The following is a 19,709-nucleotide window of genomic DNA, read 5'->3' as shown; positions in this document are numbered from 1 at the left end:
ATTCAAAAATAGTGTACCAATGTGTAATGTCCTAAATAAGAAGATGTGACAATGTGTTTTGTTTCACCCATAAATTATTTTTATATCGCAGTATAGTTATACTGTGGTTAAGTAAGAAAATATCATTGTTCTTAGGAAATACCAGTGAAGTAGAGAAAAATAGGCATGGTATCTTCAATTTACTCATAAATAATTCAGAAAAATACAGAATATAGACTAGTACTAAAAATACACATACGGCTGCACACGGTAGCTCATGCCTGTAAGCCCAGCATTTAAGGAGGCCAAGGTGGGTGGATCATCTGAGGTAAGGAGTTCGAGGCTAGCCTGGCCAACATGGTGAAACCCCATCTCTACTAAAAATACAAAATTAGCCAGGCATAGTGACACATGCCTGTAGTCCCAGCTACTTGGGAGGTGGAGAATCACTTGAACTCGGGACACTGAGGTTGCAGTGAGCCAAGATCACGCCATTGCACTCCAGCCTGGGTGACAAGAGCAAAACTCCATCTCAAATATATATATATATGATATATATTTTCTATATAATATACATGTATAAAAATAATACAACAAATGGGGCAAAATATAAACAATGATGAATTTGGGTAATTGACATGTATGGGTTTCCTATCGTATTCATTCAACTTTAACATAAATTTGAAATAAAGTTTTAGCAAAGAAACATTTAAAGTGATGATTTTTAAAAAATAGAGATAAAATGTAATATCCTCTACATAATCTAATCAAAATCAAAAAAGTAAGCACAAATAAACAAATTTAAGGATGAGAAAGTAGATATATGCACAGTCCAGAGAATACTAAAAGGTGAAGAGAAAATACCAGCACATGAGTTCCTGTTTTCTGTGATTCGTTGGTTCCCAAACTGAAGCAACGAAGATCTCCGGTGTTTTAGGAGGGCTCCCCATGCTTTTTGTGTTGACTCATGCTCTTTAAGTTTTGTTTGTGGACTACAGTGAATTTTAGCTCCTGGTTGAAATTAGACGAACGTCTTTTGTGGATAACCTGTAATCTCAGTCTTACAAGCTATATCTAGGAACTGGCTGTCCTGTAACCAGAGTGATACATGATATCTTTTTGTTTACTTATCCTCTTGCTTCTTGTGGCATTAGGAAATATGAATGCCTATGGGGCATTCTCATTGAGAGTTTACTCACATATCAACTAGTGTTTTTCAGTATCGAGGTTATATCCTAGTAAGATATGCTGTTGAAAGAAAGCCTTCTTGCCAGGCGCGGTGGCTCATGCCTGTAATCCCAGCACTTTGGGAGGCCGAGGTGGGCGGATCACAAAGTCAAGAGATCCACACCATCCTGGCCAACACGATGAAACCCCGTCTCTACCAAAAATACAAATATTAGCTGGGCATGGTGGCATGCACCTGTAATCCCAGCTACTAGGGAGGCTGAAGCAGGAGAATTGCTTGAACCCGGGAGATGGAGGTTGCACTGAGCCGAGATCAGCCACTGCACTCCAGCCTGGCAACAGAGTGAGAAAAAGGAAAAAAAAAAAAAAAAAAAAAAAAAAGAAAGAAAGAAAGAAAAAGAAAAGAAAGCCTTCTTTCTTTGTACAATATGTAATACATAATATTCATACACCTAGGGAAATAGCCCAAACTCAGTATTATCAAATAGGAAATTTGGGAACTTATCCAGGAGTGTTATTTAGGAGCAGTTTTTTCTCTTATTGAACTATGTAATTATTATGCCTTGACTAAGTGAAGGAATTAAGCTATGAATTCTGGTGGTTAAGGTAACCTTACTAACCTTGGTATTCTGATTAGCTGAGAATTGCACTACCTTTCAGAAGTTGGATTAATGTCTATGGATGCTAACTTTTGCTTCCAGCACAAATCTACTGATAAATTTGAAAATAATTTTCTGGGAATTATAGATGGAATACTAAGTAGCAACAAAAATTATGCTGTTGAAGAATATTAAATGGATGAAAATGTTCATGATATATAGATATAAAAATATAGAACAGTTTACAAATTGCATCTAGCTTTATAAAAATAGCCATAAAATTAGAATTTAAACAATACACACAAAAAATCTAATAATAGTGATTGTCTCCTGTAGATAAATTATGGGTAGTTTCTTTTGAGGGGGGCTTTTCTGCATTTTAGAAATGTTAGGCAATATTGTGTGTTACTTTTTCAATGGCAACAAAAACCCCAATACATGTTATGAAATATCTATGAAAACATAAATTAGAAAAACATGTGCAATGCCTCTGGAAACTAAGGATTAGAATTCATCATATATCAAAATCTTGGAAGGATTTACACTAATTACAAGCAGATGTTGAGGTTTAAACAACTCTAATCATAGCCAATGAACGCTTGACCTTTTGCCCTGAACAGTGCAATAGGGAATTGATGCAGCCCTCTGACAGGAAGGGGGCCAGCAACACGGAAACCGGCTGGAAACCACCTCCTCATTGCAGATACTTTCTGAGGGAGGAAATTCTTCTCTCTCTAGTTCTCTTCCCCATTAGCTCATTCTTCCTACATTCATTTAGGATGTCTAAAGGACCCAGAGTATTATCAAAGTGGATATCTTGCCTCCATAGCTTCGCTTTCTAGATCAGTCAGAGTATAGCAATCCCCAGCATCAGAAAGCTAAGAATGGCCCAAGAGGGAATTAAACAGAGTAACACAAAAGTTAATATCTCCTTTGGCCTATCACCTAGTGGTTTAAATCTGATCAATTAAAATAAGTCTACGTAATAGATAAATTACTAAGGGAAAAATAATTTTTAAAGAGATGGATAAAAGAAACATGGGACAGGAAAAGAAAGCTATAGCAAATTATATGAAAGAATAAATATAAAATAAGCTCGGTAAAACAAAACCAAACATTAATTGATTTCATTAAATTTCCCCAAGAAAAGATAGGCTCTCACATCTGTTTAAGAAATAAAATCTAGCCATATACTCACCATAAGGCACAAACAAAGGATGAAAATAAAGGGATGAAGAAAAATATTAGGCAAACACAAATTTAAAAATTATGATGATATTAATATTGATATAGTAGAATTCAAAAGTATCCAACAAAAAGGATATTTATAGTGATAAAAGGTAAAATAAAAATTGATACAACAATCACTAGTATTAATATTTATTTGTGAAATAACTAAGAATAGAGATCTTGAACAAAACAATAACCAAATGAATTACATACATATGATATTTTATATCTGTCTATATCAATCACTATATATTTCTTATTTTTTAATACATAGAACAATTATAAAAATCAATCTGAAAATGAGCAGATAAAAAGTTGGAAATCTTTAAAATGAATAGATTGAGCAATTATGTTCTTTCACTAAATGTGAAAAACTAAAACCAATTATAAAAAACAATATAAACTTAGCTGCTTTATAATGGAAAATACTCTTTAAAATGATCTCAAGAAGAAATAGGATTTTAAAAATGAAATGTAAAATCACCAAGACAGTAATGGAAAAAACGTATCAAATAAAAACCTAAAATAATACAGCTAATTTTCTGCTTAAAAAATGCTTCATGGGAGGCTGAGGCAGGCAAATCACTTGAGCCTAGGAGTTCAAGTGCAGCCTGGGCAACATGGTGAGACTTTGTCTCTATAAAAAAATTACAAAAAAAATTAGCTGGGTGTGGTGATGCATACCTGTAGTCCCAGCTACTCAGGAGGGTGAGGCAGGAGACTCAATGAGCCCAGGAGGTTGAGGCTGCAGTGAGCCATGATAGTGCCACTGCACTCCAGCCTGGGTGACAGAGTGAGATCCTGTCTCAAAAGAATTAAAAAAAAATGCTTCAAGTAGAATTCTGAATGTTTTATTAAGGATGAAATACTAAATTGAATGAAATAAATATTTAATTTGGTAAACTGGGCAAAAGAACAACAATAGTAACTAAAGTAACAAAAAGAAAATATAAAAGGAGAAGAAAATTATTACACTTAAAGCTTGAAATAAATTAAAGGGTATATTAGTTTCTGTTAGAGAACAAACCATCTTCTACTGTAAGTGTTTAAAACAACACATTTACTTAACTCATAATTCAGCAGTTTGTCAATATGACTTGAGCTTGGATCCAGCTGGGTGATTTTTCTGCTCTAGACTGAGATCTGATCTCTGCTGGGCTTAGGTTCCTGCAGTCAGCTCATGGAACAATTGAGACTGGCTGGTTTATGGAGACCTCAGCTGACATAAACTAGCTGAGCAGGGCCACTCCCTGCTTTGTCTCTTATCCTCCATTAATATACCTGGGCTTGTTCAATTGGAGGTCATGAGCAGACACCATATATCTTCTTGAGTTACAGGTTCTGAATTTATAGAACACCATTTCTGCCACATTCTTTGGCCAAAGTAAATCACAAGGCCATCTCCAGTTCAAACAGTGAGGAAATAGATTTCCTTTCTTGGTGACAGAAACAGTTGCAAAGAATTTTGTCCATTTTTGCAATCTATAGTAAATATTTTATATGCTGCTTTGTAGAAATATCTTCCAAACTATGTAGAAATATATCTCAAACTCCAAAATGGGGGTATAGTGGGGGTAAAAATGAGGGTTTTTCTACTAAGAAAAATTTTAATTATTGCCTTAAAAAGAATTGGAAAATTTAGAACAAATCAAGAAACATTTTTTCATCTATAATTAAAAAGATGACAGTCCAGTATAGTTATATATCTATTTTATGTAACTTCCCAAGAATAGAATATCCTGTTACTCAAACTATTCACAGTATAGAAGAATAAGAAAAAATTCTCCAAATATTTTAATACCATAAGTTGCTAATAGCATCCATATTTATAAATAAAAACCATCATTTATAAAAACAGATGCTCAAGTTCTTCAAAAAGTAAAAAAGATAGCTAATTGAATTTATGCTTATCGTAAAGTAAAATTTTACCTATTCAGCAAATACTGTCCATTGCTATTGACCAGCCAATTTGCTAGGCACTGGAAATACAAAAGTAAGGAAGATCTACAGGATATCTTCGTCTCATGGGCTAGAGAGGTAGGAGATACAATAGACCAGGAATGATGAGCTCCAGCTTATGAGCCAAATCTGACTGGCTGCCTGATTTTGTAAACAGATGTTTATCATAACATAGCCATTTCCAATTGTTTATGTTTTGTTTATGTCTGCTTTCACACAACAGTGGCAGACTTGAGTTGTTGTGACAGAGACCATATGGACCACAGAGTCTAAAAGATTCACTACTTCATCCTTCATGAAAAAAATTTGCTGATTCTGAAGTAGACCACAAAGAACTAGCAAGATAACATAGTTTTTAAAAACCTATGCAAAGAAAATAAATGGATTAATAAGATGGAGAATACCTGGGAGAGTCATCTTTAGACAGATTGGTCAGGAAAAGCTAGTCTGAGGAGACACAGAGGATGAAAGTTGTCTGACATGAAGACCTGAAGAGAGATCATACCTGATACATAACAAGGAAAAAAGGTTTAGTGATCATGGGGAATAGAAAGTAGGCTAGTAGGGTGGAATAGTAGCAGTAGCCTTGGATGATCTTGTGTATTTCTGTGGTATCAGTTTTGTTTCTAATCAAGCTTCTTTGTATCTTCTCTCTTCTTGGTTAATCTCACTAATGGTCTATCAAATTTGTTTATCTTTTCAAAGAACCACTTTTTTGTTTCATTAATCTTTTGTATTTTTTGTTTCAATTTCATTTGGTTCTACTCTGATCTTTGTTATTTCTTTTCCTTTGCTGGGTTTGGGTTTGGTTTGTTCTTGCTTCTCTAGTTCTTTGAAATGTGACCTTAGATTGTCTATTTGTGCTCTTTCAAACTTTTTGATGTAGGCATTTAATGCTATGAACTTTCCTCTTAGTACTTACTGCTTTTGCTGTATCCCAGAGGTTTTGATAGGTTGTATCACTATTATCATTCAGTTCAAAGAATTGTTTAATTTCCATTTTGATTTCATTTTTGATGCAAAGATTATTCAGGAGCAGGGTTATTTAATTACCATGTATTTGCATGGTTTTGAGGGTTCCTTTCAGAGTTGATTTCCAATTTTATTCCACTGTGGTCTGAGAGAGTACTTGCTATAATTTCAATTTTCTTAAATTTATTGAGACTTGTTTTATGGCCTATCATATGGTCTATCTTGGAAAACGTTCTGTGTGCCGATGAATAGAATGTGTATGCTGCAGTCGTTGGGTAGAATATTCTGTAAATATTTGTTAATTCCATTTGTTCTACAGTATAGTTTAATTCCATTGTTTCTTTGTTGATTTTCTGTCTTGATGACCTGTCTAGTGCTGTCAGTGGAGTACTGAAGCCCCCACTATTATTGTGTTGCTGTCTATCTTATTTGTTAGTGTTTTGTAAATTTGGGAGCTCCAGTGTTAGGTGCATATATATTTAGGATTGTGATATTTTCCTGTTGGACTAATCTTTTTATCATTATATAATGTCATATATATCACTATATATATATATATCATTATATAATGTCCCTCTTTGTCTTTTTAAACTGTTGCTGCTTTAAAGTCTGTTTTGTCTGCTATAAGAATAGCTACTCCTGCTCATTTCCAACCATTTGCATGGAATTTTTTCCCACACCTTTACCTTAAGTTTATGTGATTCCTCATGGGTTAGGTGAGTCTCTTGAAGACAGTAGATACTTGGTTGGTGAATTCTTATCCATTCTGCCATTCTGTATCTTTTAAGTGGAACATTCAGGCCATTTGCATTCAATGTTAGTATTGAGATTCGAGGTATTATTCTATCCATTGTGCTAATTGTTGCTTGAATATCTTGGTTTATTTTCCCATTGTGTTATTGTTTTATAAGCCCAGTGAGATTTATCCTTTAAGGAGATTCTATTTTGGTGTATTTTGAGGTTTTAAGATTTAGAACTCCTTTTAGCAGTTCTTGTAGTGCTGGCTTGGCAGTGGTGAATTCTCTCATCATTTGTTTGTCTGAAAAAGACTTTATTTTTCCTTCATTTATGAAGCTTAGTTTTGCTGGATACAAAATTCTTGCTGGATAATTATTTTGTTTAAGGAGGCTAAAGATAGGACCCCAGTGCCTTCTAGCTTGTAGGGTTTCTGCTGAGAAATCTGCTTTTAATGTGATAGGTTTTCCCTATAGGTTACCTGATGCTTTTGCCTCACAGCTCTTAAGATTCTTTCCTTCTTCTTGACTTTATATAACCTGTTAACTATGTGCCTAGGTGATGACTTTTTTTGTAATGAATTTCCTGGGTGTTGGATATCTAGTTCTCTAGCAAGGCCAGGGAAGCTTTGTATTTGGATATGTAGTTTTCTAGCAAGGCCAAAGATGTTTTCCTTGATTATTCCCTCAAATATGTTTTCCAATCTTTGATATTTTTCTTCTTCCTCTGAAACAGGAAGGTTTGATAATTTAACATAATTGCAAACTTCTTGGAGGCTTTGTTCATTAAAAAAAGTTTTTTCTTTGTCTTTGTCAGATTGGGTTAATTTGAAAGCCTTGTCTTCAAGCTCTGACGTTCTTTCTTCTACTTGTTCAATTCTATTGCTGAGACTTCCCCATGCACTTTATATTTCTCTAAGTGTGTCCTTAATTTGCAGGAATTGTGATTTTTATTTATGCTATCTATTTCTCTGGATAGTTGTTATCCATATCCTGCATTCTTAACAATTTCTTTAAGATGGTTTTCACCTTTCTCTGGTGCCTCCTTGAGTAGCTTAATAATTAACCTTTTAAATTCTTTTTCTGGCAATTCAGAGATTTTGTCTTGGTTTGGATTCATTGCTGGTAAGCAAGTGTGAACCTTTGAGGGTGTTATAGAACTTTGTTTTGTCATATTACCAGAATTGTTTTTCTGGTTCCTTCTCATTGGGGTAGGCTATGTCAGAGGAAAGATCTGGGACTCAGGGGCTGCTGTTCAGATTCTTTTGTCCCACAGGATGATCCTTGATATGGTGCTCTTCCCCTTCCCCTAAGGATGGGGCTTCCTGAGAGCTGGACTGCAGTGATTGTTACTTCTCTTCTTGGTCTAACCACCCATTGGAGCTACTGGGCTCCAGGCTGGTACTGGGGAGTATCTGCAAAGAGTCCTGTGATGTGATCCATCTTCAGGTCTCTCATCCATGGATACCAGCTCCTGTTCTGGTGGAGGTAGCAGGGGAGTGAAGTGGACTCTGTGAAAGTCCTTGGTTGTAGTTTTGTTTAGCATGCTCGTTATCTCAAATGCTGGTTATGCTAACAGTGAAGTTGTCCCGTGTCCAGACTCAGGACCTCTGGTTAGCCAGGATGTTATAGGTGGTGGAATTAGCTATTATTTTCTTCCTTGGAACAGGGTTTGTTTTGTTATGAGTTTTTGTAAATGCTCGAGTTGGTTGGCCTCCAGCCAGAAGGTGGCACTTTCAAGAGGGCATCAGTTGTGGTAGTATAGGGGTGATACAAGCTTGCCCTAAGGTCACCTGGATAAGTATTCAAGTCTCTCAGGTGATGGATGTGGCTGTAGAGCTCCCACGGGTTTATGTCTTTTGTCTTTGGCTACTGTGGCAGGTGGAGAAAAACCATCAGGTGGGGGCAGGGTTAGGCATGTCTGAGCTCAGACTCTCCTCAGACGAGGCTTGCTATGGTCACTGTGGGGGATGAGGGGTGGTTCTCAGGCCAATGGAGTTTGGTTCCAAGGGGGATTATGGCTGCCTATGCTGCTTTGTACAGGTTGCCAGGGAAGTAAGAAAAAGCCAGCAGTGACAGGCCTCACCCAGCTTCCCAACAGCCAGCAAGGCCAGTCTCACTCCCATGCTCCCCCAAAAGCAAACAGAGCCAAGTTTATATCCAGGCCCCTGGTGCTCAGGACTGAGATCTTGAACCAGGCTACATGCCTCCCTGCTAAGAAAGCAAGCAGGGCTTTCAGGCCTTGTCCCTCCTCCAGCAAACTCCAGCAGACCTGCAGCAGAGAGGCCTGTTAGAAGGGAAACTAACAATCAGAAAGGAATAGTATCAACATCAACAAAAAGGATATCCACTCAGAGACCCCATCCAAAGGTCACTGACTTCAAAGATGAAAGGTAGATAAATCCTTGAAGATGGGGAGAAACCAGTGCAAAAAGGCTGAAAATTCCAAAAACCAGAAAGCCTCTTCTGCTACAAAGGATAACAACTCCTCACCAGCAAGGGAACAAAACTGGATGGAGAATGAGTTTGACAAATTGACAGAAGTAGGCTTCAGAACATGCGTAATAACAAACTCCTCCAAGCAAAAGGAGCATGTTCTAACCCAATGCAAGGAAGCTAAGAACCTCGATAAAAGGTTAGACAAGTTGCTAATTAGAATAACCAGTTTAGAGAAGAACATAAATGACCTGATGGAGCTGAAAAACACAGCATGAGAACTTCGTGAAGCATACACAAGTATCAATAGACGAAACGATCAAGCGAAAGAAAGAATATCAGACATTGAAGATCAACTCAATGAAATAAAGTGAGAAAATATGATTAGAGAAAAAAGAGTGAAAAGAAATGAACAAAGCCCCAAAGAAGTATGGGACTAGGTGAAAAGACCAAATCTATGTTTGATTGGTGTACCTGAAAGTGATGGGGACAAAGGAACCAAGTTAGAAAACACTCTTCAGGATATTATCCAGGAGAATTTCCCCAGCCTAGCAAGGCAGGCCAACATTCAAATTCAGGAAATACAGAGAACATCACAAAGATATTCCTCGAGAAGAGCAACCCCAAGACATATAATCATCATATTCACCAAGGTTGAAATGAAGGAAAAAATATTAAGGGCAGCCAGAGAGAAAGGTCGGGTTACCCACAAAAGGAAGCACATCAGAATAACAGGGGATCTCTTGGCAGAAATCCTACAAGCCAGAAGAGAGTGGGGGCCAATATTCAAGATTCTTAAAGAAAAGAATTTTCAACCCAGAATTTTATATCCAGCCAAACTAAGCTTCATAAGCGAAGAAGAAATAAAATCCTTTACAGACAAGGAAATGCTGGGAGATTTTTGTCACCAGCAGGACTGCCCTACAAGAGCTCCTGAGGGAAGCACTAAACATGGAAAGGAACAACCAATACCAGCCACTGCGAAAAGATACCAAATTGTAAAGACCATCAACACTAGGAAGAAATCACATCAACTAATGGACAAAATAACCAGCTAGCATCACAATGGCCAGATCAAATTCACACATAACAATATTAACCTTAAATGTAAATGGGCTAAATGCCCCAATTAAAAGACACAGACTGGCAAATTAGATAAAGAGTCAAGATCCATCAGTGTGCTGTATTCAGGAGACCCATCTCATGTGCAAAGACACACATAGGCTCAAAATAAAGGGAGGGAGGAATATTTACCAAGCAAATGCAAAGCAAAAAAAAAAAAAAGAAAAACAGCAGGGGTTGCAATCCTAGTCTCTGATAAAACAGACTTTAAACCAACAAAGATCAAATGAGACAGACAAGGGCATTAAATAATGGTAAAGGGATCAATGTAACAAGAAGAGCTTACTATCCTAAATATATATGCACCCAATACAGGATCACCCAGATTCACAGAGCAAGTTCTTAGAGACCTACAAAGAGACTTAGACTCCCACACAATAACAGTGGGAGACTTTAACACCCCACTGTCCATATTAGACAGATCAACGAGACAGAAAATTAACGAGGATATCCAGGACGTGAACTCAGCTCTGGACCAAGCAGACCTAATAGACATCTACAGAACTCTCCACCCCGAATCAACAGAATATACATTCTTCTCAGCACCACATCATTTATTCTAAAATTGACCACATAATTGGAAGTAAAACACTCCTCAGCAAATGCAAAAAAAAAAAAAAAGGAAATCATAACAAACGTCTCTCCGACCACAGTGGAATCAAATTAGAACTCAGGATTAAGAAACTCACTCAAAACTGCACAAATACATGGAAACTGAACAATCTGCTCCTGAATGACTACTGGGTAAATAAGAAAATGACAGCAGAAATCAAGAAGTTCTTTGAAACCACCGAGAAAAAAGACACAATGTACCAGAATCTCTGGGACACATTTAAAATAGTGTGTAGAGGGAAATTAATAGCACTAAATGCCCACAAGAGAAAGCAGGAAAGATCTAAAATTGACAACCTAACATCACAATTAAAAGAACTAGAGAAGCAAGAGCAGACAAATTCAAAAGCTAGCAAAAGAAAAGAAATACCTAAGATCAGAGCAAAACTGAAGGAGATAGAGACACAAAAAAACCTTCAAAAAATCAATGAATCCAGGAGCTGCTTTTTGAAAAGATCAACAAAATAGATTAGTCAGACTAGTAAAGAAAAAAAGAGAGAAGAATCAAATAGATGCAATAAAAAATGATAAAGGGGATATCACCGCTGATCCCACAGAAATACAAACTACCATCAGAAAATACTATAAACACCTCTATGCAAATAAACTAGAAAATCTAGAAGAAATGGATAAATTCCTGGACACATACATCCTCCCAAGAATAAACCAGGAAGAAGTCAAATCCCTGAATAGACCAATAACAAGTTCCAAAATTGAGGCAGTAATTAATAGCTTACCAACCAAAAAACAAAAAAAAAAAAGCCCAGGACCAGATGGATTCACAGCTGAATTCTACCAGAGGTACAAAGAGGATCTGGTACCATTCTTTCTGAAACTATTCCAAACAATAGAAAAAGAGGAAATCCTCTCTAACTCATTTTATGAGGCCAGCATCATCCTGATACCAAAACCTGACAGAGACACAACAAAAAAAGAAAATTTCAGGCCAATATCCCTGATGAACATTGATGCGAAAATCCTCAATAAAATACTGGCAAACCGAATCCAACAGCACATCAAAAAGCTTATCCACCACGATCAAGTCAGCTTCATCCCTGGGATACAAGGCTGGTTCAACATACACAACTCAATAAACGTAATCCAGCATATAAACAGAACAATGACAAAACCCACATGATTATCTCAATAGATTCAGAAAAGGCCTTCAACAAAATTCAACACCCTTTCATGCTAAAAACTCTCAATAAACTACATGTCGATGGAACATACCTCAAAATAGTAAAAGCTGTTTGTGACAAGCCCACAGCCAATATTATACTGAATGGGAAACACTGGAAACATTCCCTTTGAAAACTGACACAAGACAAGGATGCCCTTTCTCACCACTCCTATTCAACATAGTGTTGGAAGTTCTGGCCAGGGCAATCAGGCAAGAGAAAGAAATAAAGGGTATTCAATTATGAAAAGAGGAAGTCAAATTGTCTTTTTGTAGATGACATGATTGTATATTTAGAAAACCCCATCGTCTGATCCCAAAATCTCCTTAAGCTGACAAGCAACTTCAGCAAAGTCTCAGGATACAAAATCAATGTGCAAAAATTACAAGCATTCCTATACACCAATAACAGACAATCAGAGAGTCAAATTATGAGTGAATTCTCATTAACAATTGCTACAAAGAGAATAAAATACTTAGGAATCCAGCTTACAAGGGATGTGAAGAACCTCTTCAAGGAGAACTACAAACCACTGCTCAAGGAAATAAGAGATGACACAAACAAATGGAAAAACATTCCATGTTCATGGATAGGAATAATCAATATTGTCAAAATGGCCATACTGCCCAATGTAATTTATAGATCCAATGCTATCCTGATCAAGCTACCACTGACTTTCTTCACAGAATTGGAAAAAACTACTTTAATTTTCATATGGAACCAAAAAAGAGCCCCTATAGCCAAGACAATCCTAAGCAAAAAGAACAAAGCTGGAGGCATCACACTACCTGACTTCAAACTATACTGCAAGGCTACAGTAACAAAAACAGCATGATACTGCTACCCAAAACAGATATATAAACCAATGCAACAGAACAGAGGCCTGAGAAATAATGCCACACATCTACAACCATCTGATCTCTGACAAACTTGATAAAAACAAGCAATGGGGAAAGGATTCCCTATTTAATAAATGGTGTTGGGAAAACTAGCTAGTCATATGCAGAAAGCTGAAACTGGATCCCTTCCTTACTGCAAATATTAACTCAAGATGGATTAAAGACTTCAACATAAGACCTAAAACCATAAAAACCCTAGAAGAAAACCTAGGCAATACCATTCAAGACATAGGCATGGGCAAAGGCTTCATGACTAAAACACCAAAAGCAATGGCAACAAAAGCCAAAATTGACAAATGGGATCTGATTTAACCAAAGAGCTTCTGCATAGCAAAAGAAACTATCATCAGAGTGAACAGACAACCTACAGAATGGAAGAAAATTTTTGCAACCTATCCATGTGAGAAAGGGCTAATATCCAGAATCTACAAAGAACTTAAACAAATTTACAAGAAAAAAACAAACAACCCCATCAAAAACTGGGTGAATGATATGAACAGACAATTCTCAAAAGAAGACATTTATGGAGTCAACAAACTTATGAAAAAAAGCTCATCATCACTGGTCATTAGGGAAATGCAAATCAAAACCACAATGAGATACCATCTCATGCCAGTTAGAATGGCCGTCATTAAAAAGTCAGGAAACAACAGATGCTGGAGAGGATGTGGAGAAATACGAATGCTTTTACACTGTTGGTGGGAGTGTAAATTAGTTCAACCATTATAGAAGACAGTGTAGTGATTCTTCAAGTATCTAGAACTTAGAAATACCATTTGACCCAGCAATCCCATTACTAGGTATATTCCCAAAGGATTATAAATCATTCCACTATAAAGACACATGCACACATATGTTTATGGTGGCACTATTCACAATAGCAAAGATTGGAACCAACCCAAATACCCATCAATGATAGACTGGATAAAGAAAATGTGGCACATATACACCATGGAATACTATGCAGCCACAAAAAAGGATGAGTTCATGTCCTTTGCAGGGACGTGTATGACGCTGGAAACCATCATTCTCAGCAAACTAATGCAAGAACAGAAAACCAAACATCACATGTTCTCACTTGTAAGTGGAAGTTGAACAATGAGAACACATGGACACAAGGAGGGGAACATCACACACTGGGGCTTGTCAGGGGTGGGGAGCTAGGGGAGGGAGAGCATTAGGAGAAATACCTAATGTAGATGATGGGTTGATGTGTGCAGCAAACCACCATGGCACATGTATACCTATGTAACAAACCTGCATCTTCTGCACATGTACCCCAGAACTTAAAAGTATATTTAAAAAAACAACTAAAGAAAAAAATACACAAATATCAGAAAAAATAAAAGTGATCAAAAAAGAACAGGTAATAGATTTTAAAATGGAAGTGACTACTAAAGCATAAATACTCAATTTCAGAATTTATTAAGCTTTGTGGGTGTATAGATTCATATCTTTTTCAAATTTGGAATTTTTTGGCAATTATTTCTTGAAATATTAAATATCCTTCAAACATTCTTCCTGCCCATTTCTCTGTCACCTCTCCTTCCTATTATGCATAACTTGGTATGCTTAATGGTGTCTCACAATTCTCTTAAGCTCTGTTCATTTTTCTTCATCTTTATTTCTTTCTGTTTCTCAGACTGAATAATTTCATTTGACTTCTTTTTTAGTTCACTGATTCTTTCTTCTGATGGCTTAAATCTGCAGTTGAACCCCTTCAGTGAATTTTTCATTTCTGTTATGGTATTTTTCAGGTCCAAATATTCTATTTATTTATTTTTTGAAATCTATTTTCCTTTGTTGATATTTTCTATTTGTTGAGATATAATTTTCCTTGTTTCTTTTCTTTCTTTCCCCATGTTTCCCTTTAACTCTTTAAGCATATTTATAACTTCTTCAGATCTTTGTCTACTTAAGAAAAATGTCTATGCTTCCACAGGGGTAGTTTTCATTAATTTCTTTTTTTCTCCCTGTAAATGGGCCATAGTTTCTTTGTTCTTTCTTTCTCTGCTTCTTTGTTTAAAACTGCACTTCTTTTTTTTTTTTGAGATGGAGTCTCGCTCTGCCGCCCAGGCTGGAGTGCAGTGGCATGATCTCGGCCCACTGCAAACTCCGCCTCCTGGGTTCACACCATTCTCCTGCCTCAGCCTCCCTAGTAGCTGGGACTACAGGTGCCCGCCACCACGCCCGGCTAATTTTTTTGTACTTTTAGTAGAGACGGGGTTTCACCATGTTAGCCAGGATGGTCTGGATCTTCTGGCCTCGTGATCCGCCCGCCTCGGCCTCCCAAAGTGCTGGGATTACAGGTGTGAGCCACTACGCCTGGCCCTTTTTTTTTTTTTTTTTTTAAGACGGAGTCTTGCTCTGTCGCCCAGGCTGGAGTGCATTGGCGTGATCTGGTTCACTGCAAGCTCCGCCTCCTGGATTCATGCAATTCTCCTGCCTCAACCTCCACAGTAGCTGGGACTACAGGTGCCCACCACCACGCCCCGCTAATTTTTTGTATTTTTAGTAGAGACGGGGTTTCACCATGTTAGCCAGGATGGTCTCAATCTCCTGACCTCTTGATTCACCCGCCTTGGCCTCCCAAGGTGCTGGGATTACAGGCGTGAGCCACCGCGCCCAGCCACATTTTGTATATTAAAACATACTAACTCTGGAAATCAAATTCTTCTCTCTCCAGGATTTGCTGATTTTACTTGCTATGAGTTGTAGTTGTTTGTTTTAATGACTTTCCTAAACTCTTCTTATAAAGACTATCTTCTTTATTATGTGTTTGTCAGAAATCTCTGTTCTTTTAGTTTAACTGTCACATAATTCCTTCATAGAGATTTTTCTTAAATTCTGGGAACACTCTCCCCACCTCAAACACACACAAAAAGCAGAAAAAAAAAGAAAGAAAGAAAACAAAGGTATGAAAAAAGAAAAGAAGAGAAAGAAATATGATATCCTCTAGGTTTTTGAAGATTGGTTGTTTGTTGAGGCACTCCTTCATTGCTTAGGCAGTTTACAACTCTGACTTAACCTTCACTTCCTGCTTTCATTAACCCTAAAGATCAGTCAAAGGTGAAAGTTTATGGCCTTCTCAGGTCTTTTCTGAGCAAGCATCCTGCTCTGAGTTTGTGTGTAACTTCCTAGATTCTCCATTATAGGCAAGAGTTTTTCAAAGCCCTTATTCCCTACAGATTCCTACTCTCAACTTTTTCTTCCTCGCTGTGTGGAAACAATTGTTTTCCCCAACCTTTCTTTTTTGTCTCAGCTGACAGATGCTCATTCTTTTGGCTTTCAGTGATTTAGAGGAACATACTCTGTGTATGATGGTGTACAATGTTTTAGAGGAACATCTCTCTGATTCTCCACCTTGAGAGAATTCCAAGGTAGATGAAACAAAGGCAGGACCCTTGTGTTAGTCTTTCAGGGAACCCGCAGACAGGTCAAAAGAGAAAAGAGTAATTCTTGGGAAAGAGGTCCACTAGCCTCCTTCTGGAACCATGTCCCCATATCAGGAACACAAGATACTGTCTTCAAGACCTCTGTTGTGCTGAGGAAAGGGACGGGACAAGGCTAAGTTAAACTGCTGCAAAGTTCTTTACTTTGTTTCAATGGCCTTTCTCCTGATTAAGTGTTCCCTTTGTTGCTGCAAACCATTGTCTGTCTTTTAGAGTTGAGATAAAGTTGACTCTGAAATTTTTTGCCAGGTTTTTGGTTTACTGACGTCCCTGTGTCTTGAAACTCTTTTTTTTTCCCCCCCAGTTCTTACGATATTGTCCAGGCTGGTCTAGAACCCTGGGCTGCAGTGATCCTCCCACCTCAGTCTCCCAAGTAGCTGGGATTACAGATGCAAACTATTGCACCCAGTGAAACCCTTTTTTAATAAAAGGGTTTCAAAGGTATTTTTTTCTTTTACAATACCAAAATGCAATGAATATTTTATTTAAAAAAATCAAATTACATGTGGTCACTCATGCCTGTAATCGCAGCACTTTGGGAGACCAAGGCAGGAGAATTGCTTGAGCCTAAGAATTCAGGATCAGCCTGGGCAACATGATGAGACCCTGTCTCTATAAAAAGATAAAGAAATTAGCCAGCTGTAGGGGTGCACAACTGTGGTCCCAGCTACCTAGGAGGCTGAGGTGGGAGGATCACTTGAACCCAGCAGGTTGAGGTTGCAGTGAGCTATGGTCATGCCACTGCACTCCAGCATAGGTGACAAAGTAAGACTCTGTCTCAAAAAAAAAAAAAAATTAAATTACAGACCAACTTTACCAATGATTATGTCAAACTTTTTGTGTGTGTTTCAATGGAAACTATGAATCATTTGCAGCATACCTTCCAGCTTATCAGATTCTAGTCTTGTTCATTGTCTTTGAGCTATTTGATCTCTTTTTATGTGTAGGTAACTGATAAATATATGACTGCTGTATTGTTCTATAATGATTTTGACTAACTCTGTGGAAAAACCAGTTTTGTGCCTATTTGCAATTCCTTTCACCATCCCTTTACTCTGTATAGTTTTTTTTTCCATTTTAGCTTTCCTTTTGAAAGTTTTCATATTTGCTATTTTTATGTTTATATGAGTCATGATTTTCCCTTTTTCTGAAAATTTTCTGGGAATAATTACAAATGCAAATATCCTAAATACAAATATTAGCAAATAGAATTTGGCACCAAAATATCAAGTATATTATATATCTCAGGAATGCAAGGTTGATTCAATATTAGGATATATATTGTTATAATAGCTCAAAAAAACCCATCATATAATGTCTTTCCTTCAAGAGTTTAATTTTTTTTCTCTTTTATCAGTCAGCCCCAAATGTCAGGGAGCTTACATTTTTAATGGTTAAAGTATAATTTTTAGAAAGATAAAATTATATCTCATGTTGAATATCAAATGAACATGTGTCAGTTTTTTTTCAACCAGTTAATGAGGGAACTAGTAGATGTTAAAACTAGTACAAAGAGCATTTGAGGAGCCAGGAATCTACAGATAATTTAATAAAAAATTAGTATTAGATTGCTTGGGTAAACACTAAGTTGTTTAATACTCACAGGGCAATAAATGATACAGAGTAGAAGTTGTTTTTCTATTCAACAGAAATCTACCTGTTAACTTCTGCCCCTACAGAGGTGAAAGAACACTCAGTACTCAATTTTGCCTATTTCTGATTTTTTGAGTTTTTCTATTACATTCATGGAGACAAAATGTTAGTTTTCCTGTAGGGCTGGCATGTATTTCGCTGGGCATAGTTTTGACATCTCTATAAAACTACATGACTGACAAGGTGTTTCCCAAGCTTCTCTTAATAGTAACCCTCCTTATAAAACCATCTAGTGGAAATGACTGTGAAGTCAGCAGGAATTTACTACTCAAGATTCATACCTATGTTTCGAGGGTCAGTTTTTGGAGGTCAGTTTGGAGATGAGATGACCATAGCAAGGTTTAATTAAAGACAGGGTAGACAAACATGGAGCGGTCACCTCGACTTTTAAAATCTTTGAATTGAGACCTCCTTAATTTTGGATAAACTCATAGTATCCCTGCATTTGGGGGCACAGAAAAAGTGAAGTGTCTATATATTTCTTTAGAGCAAGACAGTGGCATTTTTGCATAGATGTTTTGACTCTGGAGTTTGAGATTAAGTAGCATAAGAGTTATTCTGACGGTAGGTGGGATTGGTAGTGCTCAGGAACTTACCATAGCTAGGAACCAAAATTGTTCAAATAAAAAAATTCTGAGTGGAGAATATGGAAATAAATACAATGCAAGTAAGAGAAAACTCAAAAGAGACTGTTTATGCAGGGCTTGTTATAGCAAGGCCGTCAGCCTCCATCACTTGCATCTGGCAGACACTTGAAGGCAGACAGGGGAGTGCAAAAGCTCTATAGTGAAAAAAAGGAGGCTCTATGTGTGCTCTGATTGCAGGTTATTGGCATGGGGAAGTTGGAGGTGGGCTAACTAGAAATGTGGCATCCTGTGTGATTGGTTTGGGGGAGATCATTTAGCAGTTCATCCTGAGTTGGAAGCCAGGGCAAAAATTAGGGAAGCTGGCAGTCATTGACCATGTTCTGATTGTTGTAGGCTGATTGCAGCAGAGGTTGTGAGGTTTTGAGAGGTCAGAGTTGGATTGCATATTTGGTCTGGCCATTGTCCATTTGTATATTCAGTCTCTTAGTCCCCCGCCTTTGGTCATTCTCTTACTTTCAAGAGGTTGACCAATTCCAGAAAGGCTAGGGATCCAGATCTTCACTGATGGGGGACTGTTTAGTCATCTCCATAGTCAATTGCATTGCAAGATGTTCTTCAATTCATAAAGAAGTATCACAAGTTCAAAAGGATTTGATACCCAATGTTTGCAATATCCCGTTAAATTTAGAAATCATCTCAATTGCCATTTTATAAGGGGCATAGGATATGTTTGGATGGTCGTTAGGACTTAGGAGAAAGTGTTTTTCTCAGATAGGTCATGCCCTAAATAATGGGCAGTGTTTTGGCAAAATTGTAACAACTTTTGAAATTTTATGTCCCTCTTCTTGTACAGCTAAGAGCAAGTAAATGAAATTCTTTGTTCTCTCAACAAATTATGACATTGTCTACATATTGTACTAGTACTGAATCACAAGGGAAATTTAAATCTTTTAACTCCCGATTGAGTACCCAGGAAATACAGGAGGGAGCTTCAATAACTCCTAGGCATGATTGTCCTGATATATTGTTGTCTTCTCCAGGTGAAAGGAAAGGTATTCACTGTCCTGGTCTAGAGGCACACTGAATAAGTTAGAATAAAGATCCACTAC

Source organism: Homo sapiens, chromosome 7 (genome assembly GCF_000001405.40).
Source record: "Homo sapiens chromosome 7, GRCh38.p14 Primary Assembly".
NCBI lineage: Eukaryota > Metazoa > Chordata > Mammalia > Primates > Hominidae > Homo > Homo sapiens.
The sequence above is the reverse complement of the archived record's forward strand: the minus strand, read 5'-3'. Positions refer to the sequence as shown.